Below are 17,700 nucleotides of genomic sequence, written 5' to 3'. Positions count from 1 at the left end.
CTGCCCCAACAAAACAAAACTTGTTCACACATGGGATTTCTGCATTGTACCACACTTTACTGATGGTTTGAAGAAATGGAAGCAATGTTCACCATAATGTGAGAAGTGACTGTGTTTAGACTTTCATATTCTTAAAAAGTCAGTTACCCAGTGATTTCTATATGGAAGGTGTTAGCCTTTTGCTAGGTTTGCTTGGGTTTTTTCTTTCATTCCTACCCTTCCGTACCTCTCCTACTTCAAAAATTGCTTATAGGAACTCCAGATTTTTCTTACTTAATGGCATTTAGTGCTTTACGTCTCTCCTGCTCCATCCACCTTTTAACTCCCAGAACTACGCAAGTGCTCAGCAGAACAAAATGGGCTTTCATGTAATATTACCACAACTTGATAGAAGATATTTTTGGTTATAAATAGCTTTTAAAAAAAATTTTTTGGTGATTACATGTGGGTACGATGACTAAATTGAATTTTGCTCTTCGTCTCATACACACAAACACACACACACACACACACACACACACACACACACACACACAGGCATTTATATATAGAGAGAGAGAGATGGAGACTTGTTCTGTCATCCCAGCTGGAGTGTAGTGGTGCAATCACAGCTCACTGCAGCCTCAACCTCCCAGGTGCAAGTGATCCTCCTGCTTCAGCCTCCCATGTAGCTGGGATTACAGGTGCGGGCCACCACACCTGGCTATTTTTTATTATTTTTTGTAGATGCGGAATCTCCCTATGTTGCCCAGGCTAGTAACTCCTAGGTGTAAGTGATCCTCCAGACTCGGACTCCCAAAGTGCTGGGATTACAAGTGCAAGCCCCCATACCCCCAGCCTTCTGCTCCTATTTGACCTAGAAATTCCATATAGTAGCCATAGCATTCATTCATTCAACAAATAATTATTGAACACCTACTTGCAAAAAGGAATTCAGTTCCTATTCTGTTGGGGTGATAATCTAGTAAATAATAATAATAATAATGAAAAGTGTCCATGCACTCTTCTAGGCTCCAATAATCCCTATGAAGAGAGGGTATGCTTAAACAACAGATGCTTATTTTCTCACGGTTGTGGAGGCTGGCAGTGTGAGATCGGGGTGCCTGCATAGTGGAGTTCTAGTGAGGGCTGGCTTCCCCTATGCCTTCACCCAAAGTTTATGTGTTATTAATATCAGCAGCCCTCTATCTCTGGATGTCTCTGGTGCCTTAGAAGACATATTCTCTACAGTTAAAGAGTGATCCTCAAGAACGGACAGGGTAAATATATTTTATATTGCTAAATGCCCCCATTTGAAGGGCTATATACCATTTCATGTAGCAAGGAGCACTTAATGGCTCCAGCAGAACAAAATAACTCTACAGAAAATTTTTATTTGCCCAAAGCATCTAACGAGCTGGTCCTTCCATGCATGTGGTGGCACTCTTGTGAACTGCTTCCTGAGATCCTCTTAGTGCAAAGCCAACAACATTCAGTACATTTCCTTCACTTGCCTTTTGGCATGTCCATGACAATATTTCCAGCTGATCTAACTTCTAGAAAATCTATTTCCCACAAGCAACAGGTCTTCTATTTTCCTGCTTAAGAGTGTTTATTTTTGCTTTTTTCAGCAGCTTCACAACTTCTGACTTGGTTGACTTTTTTTTTTTTTTTTTTAGAGAGAATGTCTCTCCTCCATCTGCGAAGTGCTGCATTTTAGGTTTGATCTGACAATTTGATGCAACGGCTCAGGTATATATGACAAGGAAATGGAATTTCTATCCTCGAAATCAATTCTGAACAATAAAAGCTGAGAGGATAAGTTTATTCAAAGGTGATTTGGTATTGCGACAGGCTGCTCCAAATCAGAACTCAGCAACCTGATTTTGAAAAATTTCCAAGTTCATGAAAAGAATCACTTTGTACATAAGGGCTTTCTACTTGTTTGGGTTTGAGCATAACTAGATAGCTTAGTGGGATATCCATATTCTTGCATTTGATGATCACATTTGGCATCTAAATATTATGCTGTTTTCAAATGAAAGAAATACTGCTGAATAAGAGAGCTAGAATGAATTACATACAAAGAAAACTTAAAATAAGTGTCATCTAAGAAGATGAAAAAGCAAACAAGTACATATGTTCTTAACTTTTGGGGGCTTGCCTTTAATTTTTTTAATAAGGCAATTATCTGCTATTAGTAATTATAATAGGAGCTAAAATCCAGTTAATAGTCACTGTGTGTGAAACCCTGTGCTGAGCACCCCAGGGTATGGCCTCCAAGAGGACACACAACACTCTTTTTGGAGAAAGCTGAAGACAGTGGGGGCAGTGACTGAAGGTCACGGAGTTGGTAAAAGGCAGAGCCAAGCTCAAACCCACACAGCCACATACCTGCAACTGTGTTGTTAGCACTGCACTCCCCAGTTACCAAAGCCTTGTTTATTTTCCAGTCCTAAACTCTGCTTAAATGTGCATGAAGAGTAATTTCATTTTTTTTCCTTTTCTAGACTGTAAATTTGTATAATTGGATTTCTACAGGCTTTTGTGTTTCTGGTGAGATTCAAAATGGATTTTTCAAAGTTACGATATTCAGTGACTCCTATAATCTAGAAATTTCTCCCAAGACACCAGACTTCCTCCCTGATCTTTTGACTAAAAGCCTGGTCCCCAGCTGTATTCATTTCCTAGGGCTGCTGTAAGGAAGTATCACAACCTAGGTGGCTTACAACAGCCAAAATGCATTGTCTCACAGTTCTGGAGGCCAGAAATCCAAAAGTAATGTGTTGTCAAGGTTGTTTCCTTCTGAGAACCGTGAGGCAAGGATTTGTTCCAGGCCTCTCTCCTTGGATAGCCGTCTTCTCTCTTTGTTTCTTCATAGTGCCTTCCTCCTGCATATGTGTGTGTCTGCATTTCCCCATTTTATAAGAATTCCCCTCACATCAGATAAGGCCCACTCTAATGACCTTATTTTAACTCGATTACCTCTCTAAAGACCCTATTTCCAAGCAAAGTCCCTTTCTGAGGTACTGGGGTTGGAACTTCAGCCTATTTTTGCAGGGACACAATTCAACCCATAGCACCAGCTCTGAACCAGGGTAGTGCATGGAGGTGGAGACCTAGTACCGTGCTAAGGACCCCAGCCGACAGTGTGGTCCGAGGCAAGTTTCCCTTCTGCCCAATAGGGGATTGGATTGACTGATTTCTACTGTAATATAGTACAAGTATATATAGTAGAAGTATATATATAGAAGTAACATAGAATTCTATTTTTATAGAATGGCTGTAATTTATTTAATAGGTTTTCTCACTGAAGTAATTTCATAAAAGTTTTTGGAAAGTTGGCTTCATCCTTCTACTTTCATGCATTTGCCGCAGAGATTAAGTGTCTGCCAGGTATTCTTTCAGCGTGATCCACCGGGGAACCCACAGACCCAGCCTCCTCCCACTTTCCTTTTCCTTCTGAGATCTCTTTATTCTTCCTGTTCTGTGTCCAAAAAGAGGAACCAACTGCCCCCTAAGTCTATCCTCACATATAGAGCCTCTTACATGACAGGTGTCAGGAGAAACTAAAAACGATTAGACTTAGAAGGAGCTAACTATTAAATGGTGAATGCTCAATCAATATTCATTAATCAGGAAGGTTGACCATTGACTTTACCCTCTGTGACTTCACTGGCTCTTTCACAGCAACGATTCTTGAGAAAATACATGGCCAAGCCTTACATTAGCTGATCTAGTTTTCAGAGCCCCGCTAGGATATGAGTCCTGGTATTGCAGATGAGGAAACAGGGTCTCACAGATACACAGAAGCTCCTCTGGGTGCACACAGTGAGTACTGGGATAGGCAAAGGCTGAACTCAGGCAGCTTCTCTCCAGGATCCACCCTGAGTGATGAGCTGTGTCCCAGGCTGGAGAAGAGCCATGCTGCCCACTGTCTGGGCCTATCTACAAGCTCTTTCATTCATTCTTGGATTTTTCCAGCTGAAAAAAAGTGTTATATGAAGGATCAGAGATGGCATCTTAAACTTTTTTTTGCACAATTCATCATTAATTCACTGTTTTTTAAACTGTTGTCACAAAGAGTTGTTTTGAATGCCTTGATGAACTATGTTTTGTTTGTTTTATTATATTTTCACTTGAGATTTTTACTGTGAAGCATGCTATTTTGAAGACAAAATTTTTAAAAATAGAGAAGGGCAAGAAGAATGGTGGACAATGCAGGAGGTGACAATTGGTATAATTACAGTAAACATTTATAGGTCAGTGGAACATAAGCCCTGAGGGAAGGCTCTGAAAGCGGACCTGCAAGCAGGAGGGAGGGAGGGAAGGAGGGAGGCAGCCCTCGCAGGCTGCCGGGAAGCACCAGGGATGTCGTGCCTCACTGTGCCAGCCTCACAGATGGCATCTCAGCGACATGGCTGTTCTTTTGTCTTTTCTTCATGAGCATCTTAGAGAAGCGCATTTATGCACATTTCTACCTACAAAGTTTTGCCTCAGTGTGACTCATCTTCTTTCTGTCTCAGATAGGATTACTCTTCAAAGGAAAGATAAAAAAACAAGTTCTGAATATAAAGATGAAGCCAACTGCAGGGCTTGTTGAATTACCTCAGAGATAGCTAGAGTTGTCTGTGTGTGTGTGTGTGTGTGTGTGTGTGTGTGTGTGTGTGTGTGCGCCTCTGTGTGTGTGTCTGTGTATCTGTCCATGTCTGTGTGTATGTCTGTGTCCATGTCTGTATGTGCATCTGTGTGTGTGCATGTGCCTGTGCATGTGTGTCTGTGCATGTGTGTGTATACACATGAGTGCAATGTCCCATATTGGCAAATACCACATGGTAACGTCCTGCACGCCACAGGAGCTGTATATATGAGCTGTATTTTCATGATGGCCCACTGGGATAGGGATTAAATCAGATGATCACCATTTATACCTAAGTAGTAACACTTAAAAATGCAATTGCTCTCTGTCACCACGGCTTAATCTATGAGCCCCTAAGGGGAAAAAATTCTTACATTAAAAAAGCCATTTCATATATAGATAAATGTTGAATAGGCAGGTGTTGATCAGAAGGTCTAATCCCCATCCACGTGAAATGAACAAGTCAAGCAGATAATTGTTTTACTAGAGCTTTCCTTTGCATTAAATGTGCCTGGAAAACATTTCTAAAACCATTCTTTTCTTTTTGGTTGAACCATTATGAATGAATCTTCATCCTTTAAAAGGCTAGATGTTCATGTTCAACTGTTTTGGCAACTGACCTAAACCAATATTATTATGAACACATTTTGGTTGTTTTGGTTGGACATTGGTAACTGCCAGTGAAGTTGGAGGTGAGAGGAGTTAACTACTTCCTTATAATGTCACCACCTAATTAGAATAAAAGCATCTTAGATTAAATTCTGATTTACATAAGGACATTTATTAACTAAACAATTATTCAGCAGGCATGAAATAAACAAATCATATGACTAGTTCTCTCTCTAGGTGCTTGGCCACCGTTTGCAAGCTTCCCTTAAGGCACAAAATCCAAAATTCCAGAGTCAATATTTCATCATCACTATAGACAAAAGTTTGTGGTATTCACAGCTGGACGCTGGACATCTCCCAGGACGTGGTTCCTGAGTCATTCTGCCTCTGAGTGTGTTGCTCCCATGGAAATCATGCACCTCCACGGAACTCACTCAGGCTCCTCGGGGACTCCTGAGTCTGCAGTCAGATTGCTAGTCTTGCTCTGATTTCCTACCTATCGGACATTCCATTTGACTGTCTTGCCACTGAACTCAATGGGTGTAAGCTGACTCTTCTTCCCTGCATATCAGCATCCTCCTGACTTCCCCACTTCTGTGAATGTCATGATCATTCTTTCTGCCACCTAAGCTTGAAGCCTACAGTCATTTTTTAACACAGCCACCTTCAGCTCCAATTCCAATTCCAATCAGTCACTCTTTTCTCAAATCTCCCTTCATACCAGTTCCTGTCCTTCTGTCTCTTCTACCCTAAGCCAGAGCCATATCTCTGCAGATCAAGGGCCTTTTTGTTCTGTTTCTTCCCCAGTCAATTAGTTTACATGATGCCAAACCCATCTTCTTAAAACCACCTGGATTAGATCACTCCTCTGTTTGAAGATTTCCAAAGAGGCCTTATTTTGTAGTGGAAAATGTCCAAACTCCTTTGCATATTCACTTATTCTCAGCATGCTTTTACCACCTTGCGTTCTTCTCCTTCACGGCACAAACCTCTATGCCAGCTGGATTTTCCATCCATAATCCCCCAAATACATCACATGCATTGTTGCATTGGCCACCCTTGTTAGTGCTTTTTCCATGTGGTGTTCTTACTTTCCTCCTTCACTCCATGCCCACTTCCTCAAAACACACACACACACACACACACACACACACACACACAGCTTCTTGGAGCCTCAAAGTTGGTTGCTAGTATTTTAAGTGCCCGGAATTTGAAATGAAAAAAAATAAAAGTAAACTGGTTTTAAATGTAGGCGTTGCCACGTATTGGTTCTACTGTGGCCTCAGACTTGTTATGAAATATTTCCAAGCCTTAGCTTCCACATGAGTACAATGGGAATAATGCCTACCATCCTATTGCCCATCCTTAATTAATCTTAGTTCCGTTTCTGTGCCACGTTTCCTCCCCAGGGAAGCCCTTTATACCCTTACTACTCATGGATTTATCTCTTCTCTGAGCCCATAGAACTGAGTTCTGTTGTCACTGCTTTAGTAAAGTCACCATTTGCTTGTTTAAGGTCCCTCTTCTATTTTCACTTATTGTGTTTCGGAGCCACACATTGTATCCTATACTAGACTTTGAAAATACTTTAGTTGCAGTGCATTATTTTTGTGTAGTCAGAGTACCCAGGGCAGTTTCTCACACATTCTCTCGTTTTGTCTCATAACATCCCAGGAGCTGGATATAATCTGTGATTTATGAGGAGAGAAAGTGAGAGACAGAGGTGTAAGTGAGTTGCCTAAGGTCACTCAGAGAGTGAGTGGCAGAAGCAGCACTTGAATCAAGTCTTAGGATTCTAAGCCCGGGGCTGTCTGCTCCCTCCTAGACCTGTAACTTTAGAAGCAGGAATTTATTTCATATTGCTTATATTTCAGTATTTATTTTTAACCCTTACAGGGCCCGGTCTTGTGACTGACTGTAATTGAGAAGGTACTCTACAAATATTTTTGAAAGAATAAATAAAATGAATACTACAGACCATGTTAATAATGTCAAATAACTCTGGGAGTTTGAGGGATAATTCTGTCAATACGAGTTGAGGGTGTGCTTGGCCTCTCCATCATTTACCCTGCTTTTATGAGGGTTAGCAGCACAATGTCTTCATTCTAAAACACAGAATCATGAGGTTAAAGAAAGCATGCAATGCCATCAGCTGAGAAGAACCAGAATTCACAGTGCAGGTTCTCTAAAGTGGTTTTGTGTTGCTCTCAGCGCCGTGAACTCCCACCATTATATTCATAGCTTTTTAGCCTTTGGCTAAGATCAAGTAGAGTGTTTGTTCTCCTGGCTTTTAATAAGTAATGTGTTCTCCATCCAAGGACAACATATTTAGGCTGTACATGCATTACGAAGTATTAAGCTCCTGTAACAGTAAATTTCTCAACAGGAGATTTATGTGAATTCTCTTGGATGTTATTCTGTTGACATTAGGAACAATTAGGAATATAAAATGCCATGGCAGATTTTTCTGTGATGCTGGACGTACTGTCAGGACTCTGAGTCTGTGTACTCGGAAGTCTTCCTCAGACAGGGACAAGGCGCATTCTCTTTCTTAGGAAGAGAATTAACAGTGCACTCCCACCTCCCTGTGCTCACCACATGGGCACACATCCCAGGGCGAGGGTGGAGTGAGCTCAGAAGAACCCACGCTGAGCACAATGAAAGCAAAATTATTATCAGAGAAAGAAACAGATTGCAGCAACCTGGGTTTAACAGGACACATAGTAGTAGACAGGAAGTTTTTCGTGATCTATAACACATTTTCATATTAGGGTCATGTTAATTTCACAATGAATTGCATATTAGGCTCAATTAGAGAAACAATAAAGAAGGAAGACGGGATGACAGAAAGCATTGAAGAGGAGGAAGCAGAATGGAGGCAGAGGGTGGAATCAAAAATAAGGACAAAGAGAGGAAGGGGAAAGAGAAAGAAAATGAGAAGTAACGTCAGCAGCTCCGTAGGTTCTGAGGTGAGTTAGCTGGTCGTAGGTCAACAGCTTTAGTCACACATCCTGTTATTCACTTTGGGCATCAGAGCACATTTTCACTACCCTTTGAAATTTCCATACAGTCTACAGCGATTTTGTAGCAATCTTTCTTTACCGGGAAATTGCTTATCTGCTTTTCTTTTCAATCTTTGAGGTCAACTTATTAAAGGCTTTAGTTTCACATGAAGCCCGAAATATTTTGAAGGTAAGAAAAAAATGTGCCTTTGGTCTTAAATATTTCCACTTAAATCTTGATTCTGGGCTACTTTAATAATTCCAAAATAAGAGTGAGTGGCTTCTTTTTTCAATAACTGAAATACAACATTTAAAAACACTCATGTAATTATTTTGCTGTGTTCAGTTGTTTGAAAGTAGACAAGGTTTGATTTGACAGAGCTGTGTTTTAACCTGGGCTCTACATGTCACTAAACTACTGTCCCCTGTAAGCTCCTGTTTCCTCGTCTACAGATAGAGGTACTCCAGTAGCTCTCCAGGCTCTGTGTGTCTCTGTCACAGGTTTGGCATAAAGTAGACAGGAATGGTGTCAGTTCCTCCCTCCCCAAACTCTCTCCAATGACACTCCCACCAAGTGCAGAAACGTACAGAAAGAACTCTTCCTGCTTTTCAACTTCCATTGATCACACTGAAAGAAATATCACATTAGCTTATAAGGCTCAAAATTATCTTCAGTGCTATAGCTCTGTGTACTCTAAAATCAGAGCAACATAACTTTGGTTCTGGATGAAATCGAATCAGGACCTGACTCTACTCCTAGAAGAACGCTGACCCCAAACTCCTGTTTTGCAGAACCCTGAAGGAGCAAGTAAAGATGCCAGCCATTAAATATGAAGACCTTCAGAGACCTAGAACTAATGGAACTAAATCAAGGATTTCTATTTTATCTTAGATTAAAATGCCATTTATATGCATTCAGGGCATAGTTTTCACTCCCATGAGGAATAGATTCATACCTGTATAAAGCTGGGAATATAATGACTAATTAAATATACTGTATGACTTCAATATAGCCAAGAAAATTACAATCATTCCAAGTAATACTGTTTTTCCCCAGACACAAATCTGAGGATCTTGAATCTTAGCACTGGAAGGAATGTAGACATCACGCAGGCTCATCACTTCTCTGGCACAGAACTTGACTTGCCTTGAGCACATGTCTGGTAGCTTCTTCCTGGGAACATAGATGACATAACGCATATTGCCTTTCCAGGCAGCTTGATCTGTCATGAGACAGCTCTGGCCTTTTAGAAACCAGCCTTTATACTGAGCTGTGAGCCTGCTTCTCTGTATTGCACATTTTTTGTTCTTAATTCTGAACAAAAAGTTTTTGTGAATTTTCTTCCTGGAAATGGTCTTCACCACTTGAAACAACTGTCATGCCCATCTGAGCATATTTCTTAGGTGAGGCTTCCCAGTTTGGGAGACGCTTCTCTCATAAAATATTTCTGAATTCATCAGTATCTCTGTTCCTATAAAACGCGTGGCTGTCTACTTCAGGCAAATCCTAACCAAGCTCAGGTAACAGTGAAGTGATTGTTTGCTGTGAAACAGTATTGTACTGTTGAAGTTAAAGAGGTCTATGATTACATTGTGTTTATTTTGGATTTTGCATTATTGAGTATTTTTTACTTTATTTTCTTTTTGTAAAGCCCATATCACTACCTATAACAAGCTTTTGATAAGTGAACTTTCTAATTTTTCCTATTCTATAGCTATGTAAGGGAATCTTTAAATTTTGCCAGGACTTTCTAGCCTAATGCAACAAGGGAGGTTACATTAACTATAATAATTTAAATTTCATTAGTTTTTTCCCACATTTGCTGAAGCAATTCTTCTACACAATCTATTTCATTATTTCTGGGAGTTCTAAATGTGTCCCACAGGAACACATCCCCCTTCTTGGAACCACTGCTCTTCCACCAGAACCAGCAGCTCTCTGGACTCCCCAAGGCTTATTAGGTCTCATTGTTACCCAGGGAGTCAAGCAGCTATCACAAGGCCATGCTTTGGCTTTGTAGCTGCTCCAATGGATGTTAAAATTTCTCACTTTGTTCCTGATACTGTACGGAATTATATGCAACATCTCTTTACTTAAAAGCTCTCTGCTTCTCCCAGGATCCAGAGATTCATCCCTGGAAAAGCATTCAAGTGCAGCTGCCATATTCCATTTAGAATGCCTCCTTCCTTCAGACAGCCAAGGTTTTGTTATTGGGCTCAGCTCTATGTGCCCAGCTCCTTCTTCAGTACAAGGAGCTCTCTCCAAAGAGGTCACTAAATCCCCTGCAAATAGTCTTTAACTAGACCTTTTCAAACCTTGTCTCTTTTTTTTCTTTGAAATGACACTGTACCATGAACATTTTTATGAAATCATTAAACATGTTAAACTTCATCAAAGCCATCATTTTAAAGTCTTCCATGATGTCTATCTTATAGAGATACACCATACTAGAATGCATTTTTTTCATTTTTCTATTGCTGAGAATGTTGGGTTTTATACATAGCTTGTTATTTTAAGTAAATGTTGTGCTTTACCTTGTTCCTATTATACTTTTAATTCAGCCTACTGTTAGCATCTGTGGATGATTTTCTATGCTTATATGTCACTCAATATATTAGCATCATTCCCAGCTTTTGGCTTTACATATGCATTTTTAAGATGTGTCTCTTACCTTTTAACCATCAAATCAGATTTTAGTTGCTTGATAGACCCAGCTTTTATATTTCAGTTTATGCCACCTCTAAGGTCGTTGTAGTGAGATGCCTATATAAAAGACATACAAATTCAAGGAGTGAATTAAAATCTCACTTGAAATTTTAAATGTCACTGAATATTAATTGTGGTCGCTAATTGGTATATTTTCTAGTAATCACTTCAAAAGCTCCTCATTAAAAATAAATCATAAAAATATAGAATTATAAGAGCTTTTAGGTATAGTTCAATGATCTAATTCCATCCATTTATCTGTCCATCTATCCTTCAGCAAGTCATTTATCACCTTCCTTCTGTATATTACAGATGATAATAAAGACATCTGGGACAAAAAGGTAAGTCACAGACCTACCCATGTGTATGGGTGATAGAGTAGTGAATACAAGTGACAAAGGGTGTGATTCCTTCTGTTTGAGAGGTGAAGAAAGTATTCCCAAAGCAAGTGACATTGAATCAGCACCTTAAGATAAAACGAAGAACTCAGCAGAAAGAAAGTGAATGGGAAGATGTGGTAATAGGTTTAAATGGACATGGCATGTCGGCAACTAAATTTCTGTAGCTCCAGAATATTCTCCCCAGTCCCCTGAGACGAAGTTACAGAGCTGTGAATCCGGTAGTGAAAGCCTTGGTATAAGGCGCATAAGAAATGTGCAGATTATCTACCATGAAATAGAGGAAGAAATCAAGGTTATTCAAGTAGAGGAATGACACGTTTTAGAAAGACTTTTGTTATAACGTTATGGGAAATGGATTATAGGCTGGAGGCAAGAGATAAGACATTGTCAGTGTGACAGAATATTTTATTAATAAAGCACATAATTTATACTCAGATCTATGTGAGATGAGACCAATTCATGTCAACATGTCCAATGTTTTTGAAAAAATGCTAAGTTTTTATTATCGCTTTTGTTTATTTCCCTGTGAAATATAGTAGGCTAGCCCTCTATTTCTCCTGGCGAAATCTTTAGATAGGTGGAAAAAAAAATGTTGAAAAAGGGCATCAATGACCTCTTTTATCTTGGTTTTATCTGCCTTTTGGAAGATACTTGATTCAAAGCTATGAAAAAGCATCTCACCAATCCCGTATTTCACTTGGTTGGACGATGTGTCAAGAGAACGCCTGAGGCTTCCTCTGTCCGTTAACAGGCCAGTCATGAGTCACAGTCTGAACATGAGGAAATGTTCATGTACTTTTTCATAGTCATGGCAATGAGACTTTTTTGTGCCCAAAGTACTATCCTCGCCTAAAGTCCCTGTTAAAAAGGTTATTTTCTGCCACAGGCAGGTAGCAGAATGTCAAGATCCAATTCCAAGTGCTTCATCATCACTCGGATAGCCTCAGGAAGCTGAGGTTTTACAGCTGCCTGGAACCCACATGCTTCATGTGATGTAGAGCAGCCCTGTTAATTAGCTGTTTCAGGATTCTTAATGCCCTATGGCTTTGGAAACACTTGTTAGCCCACAGAGGGAGGGGAAGAGCTGGAAGCAATTGGACTACAGCCTGAATTTATTTTAATTCAATTCAGTAACCACCTTATCTTTCTAAATCCCTGTTTAGAATCTGTTGAAAATTATAGTTGATTTAAGTTTTTCTCAGTGATGCATCCTGAGAGAAGAGGGAGATTACAATTCAAGGTTTTCTGAAGCCACAGAAATGTGGAGTGCTGCAGAAAGAGCTGATCGATGGAACTTTCCAGACACATGTATGCAATTTTCTAAAGGCTAGAAAATAGATGCCGGGGATGGGGAGAGGGGAGGCCAGTTGATGTGGAAAGGCTTGTGTAGAGTGCCCACGAGTCTGCATTTCTGTTCACCTACCAGAAGAAACACTGCCAGTTCCCCCCACCCTCACCCCCCAACCATTCTCACTGCAGAGAGCTGGCACTCAACAAACTCATAATTTTTCTCAATACAATTCTCATGACATAACCTGACCAACCATATGAAACCTAATGAAGAAAACAACCATTGCCATTGGCAACAAATGCAGGAGTTGCATCACAAGTAAACCACATACTTTACTTCACAAATTTGAACATTAGAGTACCACCGGCAAAAACATGGTACCATCCTTCGGTATGGATGAGATATCAGTTTACAAAACCTTCACTGGAAAGTCCATACCAAAATTTTTAAAATGCATGCAAAAGCTAATTGTGTTGACATCTTTCTTATCAGAGCTATTGCAAATTATTTTGTCTAGAGGTGGTTCTTAAAACAGCCACCTGTCTGTCCACTAATCATGTACATAGCATCCTCTTCCTCATATTCATCCTCTGAAATACCAAGAGGTGAAAGAGTGTTTCAGTAGCTCACCATTCTTGGCTGTTACATAATGGGTCAGATTCCTTTCTGAGTAGTAGGAGAGGTCAGTGATCCAGATCTATATATCTTTGTGCTTTTTCCACTAATACATTCTTAGAACCTAGTAGGTGCTCAATAAACGTTAGCTGTATGAATGAGTTAGTGAATCAATGAATGAAGTGTTAATTTTTAGAAATATTATGGTCAGAATTTTACTAGGAAAAACATTTCTTATAATCACAAATGAAAGCTAGGTTTACTCAAAATTGGGAATAGTAAGTAGTCTTTCCATTTCCCATACCACAGGTATGCTTGTATTCTTCTTATATGCTTATGAAAGAAGAGAATGTGGATTAAGTTATAAACTATTTGTACATGATATTGTATATGTAAAAATCATGTCAGTTTTGAGGCCAGGATTTCTTTGTATTGAGTAAAATTTTCCTAAATATTTGCCCATTGTATTAGTTCATTCTCACATTGCTGATAAAGACATACTCAAGACTGGGTAATTTATAAAGAAAAACAGGTTTAAGGGACTTACAGTTCCACGTGACTGGGGAGGCCTCACAATCATGGTGGAAGGCAAAAGGCATGTCTTACATGGTGGCAGACATGAGAGAAAATGAGAGAAAAACCATGAAAAAGGGGTTTCCCCTTATAAAGCCATCAGATCTTGTGAGACTTATTCACTACCATGAGAACAGTATGGGGAAAATTGCCCCCATGATTCAATTATCTCCCACCAGGTCCCTCCCACAACACATGGGAATCATGAGAGCTACAGTTCAAGATGAGATTTGGGTGGGGACACAGCCAAACCACATCACCCATTTTAAAACAGGCTTGATATCAATTTATTGCTAGAAAACTATAATTTGTATTTTCTTTTACATTTTTAATGACTGATTGTACATTTGTTCCCTCAAAAGAGGCTCTCCAAAATACTGCCTAATTCCTATGTTAATAGCAACCCAAACATGTTTTCAATACTAATATTAAAACAAATTAGCTTAACAAATACAAAAGGTAATGCCTGGTTTATACAATACGGATTTGAGAAATGCAGGTTTCAACCTGTTCCACACCATGCCCTTCATTATATTCTTCTGCCAGAGATTTTATTCTTTACTTTTCATTCAATCAGAAAGAATTGAGAGGAATTTGAACCCATTCTGCCTATTTAGAATATCATTTGTACTGACTTTAATCTTTTGCTCCTAATCCATGAATTCCTGAGGTCTTTTATTTACATCCATAAATTTGAAAAGCACAATCCCCTTTTTTTTTTTAAAAAAAAAAAAAGGAAGTTACTTTTGGGAATCAGAGACATGTACCTCTTTGTTCTCTTGGAGAGCTGTGGGTTATGGGAGGGAACTCCTCATCCTGTTTCCTGATATGCAGTGACTTCTCTCTTACACAGATGAGTCCTAAAACCTTTGTGAGCTCAGACAAGTTGGCTGGTTTTATTTTTATTTTTTTATTTTTGAGATTGTCTCACTCTGTCACTCAGGATGGAGTGCAGTGGCCCAATTACCAACTCACTGCAGCCTTGACCTTCCAGGCTGAAACCATCTTCCCACCTCAGCCTCCCAAATAGCTAAGACCACAGGTGCACACCACCATACCCACTAATTTTTTGTAGAGATAGGGTTTCGCCATATTGCCCAGGCTGGTCTTGAACTCCTGGTCTCAACCAATTCACCTGCCTTGGCCTCCCAAAGTGCTGGGGTTACAGGTGTGAGCCACCATGCCTGGCCAAGTTGCCTGGTTCTTTACATGGAATGTTCTTTACATGGAATGTTCCAGGATCAATTAAACACAGATAAATAACAACTTATGTTTTGTAAATAAACACATCTGAATGGAATCTTACTCCAATTTAGATAGAAATTGATATTTTTCCTTTCAAATGAAATAAATGTTTTAGACTAGGACATCCCAAGTGAATTGAAGATTGGTACAGGAGCCTGAGGAAGGAAGTTTAAGAGAGTGAAAGCATGAGAGAAGAGCCAAGATTATGTAGCCCAGAGAAGGAAAGAATTATTACCTACCATTACTTTAAGGGACTGTGCTTCCTCACAGTAGTGGAAGACAGATGCTCATTTTTTATTCAAGACTGTGTAAAATAAATGGCCTTAATTTATAGATGTGGATGCTGGTTTATATCAATACACCTCAACCTGGGATGGCTCCAAATCTTGACTACACATGGGAATAACTTGAGGAGTTTTACAAAAAAACTGATGCCTGGGTCACACCCTGAGAGATTCTTATTTATCTGGTCTGGGGTGGTGTGGCCCAGGCACTGAAATTTATAAAATTCTCCGGGTGATTCTAATATGCAGCCAAGGTTAAGAATGCAGCTGTACAGCTGTAGATGGAAGAATACCAAAACCAGGCCTTCTGCTAGTGCCTGAGCTTCTCCTCATTTTAGTTTCTGTGATGTGTTCAGACATTGTTTCTAGAATCTCCTGGGTAATATGAGTTATAGTCCTTTGGATGGAGTAATACATTAACACATCCATACTCACATAGTTTGGAAGGGGCCAGGATGCAAAGGGAAGTTGGAGGAGGAAGAGAAGGAAATGGTAAAGTCCAAAGCATGGGTGAAGGGGGGCCAATATAAACCCACAGAGCAAAAAGGAGATGTTGGGTCATCATATTCTATTACATAAATTGGATTTACATTTCCTTGTCTTTCATTGCTGGTCTTTATTCCCACAAGTCTCCAAATACAGTCATAAAATTCTCATGAGTTGTTATAGCAAAATTGCTTATCATTTACTATTTCTTAAATGAATGCATAAACTGTATTACTTTGGCAGAAAGGATGCTGCTGGGTATCATATGTAATGTATACTAGTAAGGTGGACAGGACCATTAGGACTTTAAATTCCTTTATAATCTCAAAAGTCTGTGATTCTGATCTTCCTGGTCTTGCAACTCCAGAAAAGGTGGTAATCACTGGAGTAGGCTATTTATGGGCCTGTGAGATAGTGAAACATGCTATTAAGACAAAATGAGAGACTTCCTTCTCTGAAATGGTTCCATATAAAAGTAATATATGGCTTAAGTATCCAGGGGCTCATGTAATCTCTCCATGTCAGTATCTTTTACGGGGAATTATTTAACCAAACATGTATTGAACACTTACGTGCTACACTAAAATCCCAGATTTGTCAAGTTCCCGTTTAAAAAGTGGGTACTAAGCCTAAGATATTAGCAATACTTGTATCTGAAAAGGCCTCACATCTAGAAACTATAAAGAACTTCTAAAAATCAATCAAAACAACATAGTTCTTAGAAAATCACAAAGGAACAGGTTTTTCAGACTCGAGGATGTCTATATGGTGAAAAAGCAGCAGTATTTTAGAGTTGGTCTGAACTGACTCACAGGAACCTATTTTTAAATGTCCAGAAATTTGCTAAGCAAATTGTTAATGCATCAATTATCTAAAGTTTAATTATGTAAACTTCAAGTTATCTGAAAAACATAACACATACTCAAAACTCTCATCCCTTCCTAAGTGTTTTACTACATTCTGTTATTTCTGTTTGTGAGGTCATTTGTTTATTGCATCTGTATGATGGAAACACTGTATAAAATGACATGTTATTCCCAACTCCACATAGGCTGATATAACGTTGGTAGCTTAAAATCAGCTTTAGTCCAGGTATTTATACAATGGAAATGGAAATCAGCATACGCCACAAATCAGGAGTTGATTTTTTTTTTTTTTTTTTTTTTTTTTTTTTTGAGATGGAGTGTCGCTCTGTCGCCCAGGCTGGAGTGCAGTGGTGCGATCTCGGCTCACTGCAACCTCCGCCTCCTGGATTCAAGCGATTCTCTGCCTCGGCCTCCTGAGTAGCTGGGATTACAGTTGCCCGCCACCATGCCTGGCTAATATTTGCATTTTTAGTAGAGATGAGGTTTCATCATCTTGGCCAGGCTGGTTTTGAATTCCTGACCTCGTAATCCACCTGCCTTGGCCTCCCAAAGTGCTGGGATTACAAGCATGAGCCACTGCGCTCGGCCCAGGAATTGATTTTTTGTTTAATGGTGTTGACTGTCTACAAACTGATTAAGAAAATGTTATTAAAGTTGTACATCATGTCTGCAACCATTAAATTGTAAGTAGCACAAAAAATCTGGGGGAAACAGTCTTCTAGACTTTCCAGATGCAGCAAAGAAATTGCCTTGTTCCAACATACATTTTTATTGTTTCACTTTTGTCTTACTTAACCACTAAGTAAGACATAGTTCCTACATAAACCAATCATGTAGGAATTACACTCCTTTTTCAATTACAACTTTGGTTTGATTACCTTTGTGGTCTTCTGTTCTATCACCGTCTTTTTTTTTTTTTTTTTTTTTGAGAAGGAGTTTAACTCTTGTCACCCAGGCTGGAGTGCAGTGGTGTGACCTCCGCTCACCATAACCTCTGCCTCCC

General features: G+C 39.5%; 1 protein-coding gene and 1 long non-coding RNA gene across 19 annotated transcripts in view; one reads left to right on the top strand and one right to left on the bottom strand.

Annotated features, from left to right (window-relative positions):
* The window catches only part of PDE4D (phosphodiesterase 4D), a 1,553,091-nt gene that overhangs the window by 723,338 nt on the left and 812,053 nt on the right, over positions 1-17,700 (top strand). The window contains exon 1 of one of the 18 annotated variants that reach the window (XM_047417297.1): positions 1,664-1,731. The exons of the other annotated variants lie outside the window; for them this stretch is intronic. Coding sequence (XP_047273253.1) covers positions 1,718-1,731 — 14 coding nt within the window. The 5' untranslated portion in view covers positions 1,664-1,717. Of the gene's footprint in view, positions 1-1,663; positions 1,732-17,700 lie in introns of those variants that run through there. 18 annotated transcript variants of the gene reach the window in all.
* Positions 1,791-17,241, bottom strand: LOC105378988 (uncharacterized). Its single transcript, XR_001742413.2, has 2 exons — positions 10,902-17,241; positions 1,791-3,963 (listed from the first exon to the last, which is right to left on the bottom strand). It is a non-coding gene; the product is annotated as an uncharacterized LOC105378988 (long non-coding RNA).

This window comes from Homo sapiens, chromosome 5 (assembly GCF_000001405.40).
Source record: "Homo sapiens chromosome 5, GRCh38.p14 Primary Assembly".
NCBI classification, from domain to species: Eukaryota; Metazoa; Chordata; class Mammalia; order Primates; family Hominidae; genus Homo; species Homo sapiens.
Note: the sequence above shows the minus strand (reverse complement) of the source record. Positions and strands in the feature narration are given on the sequence as shown.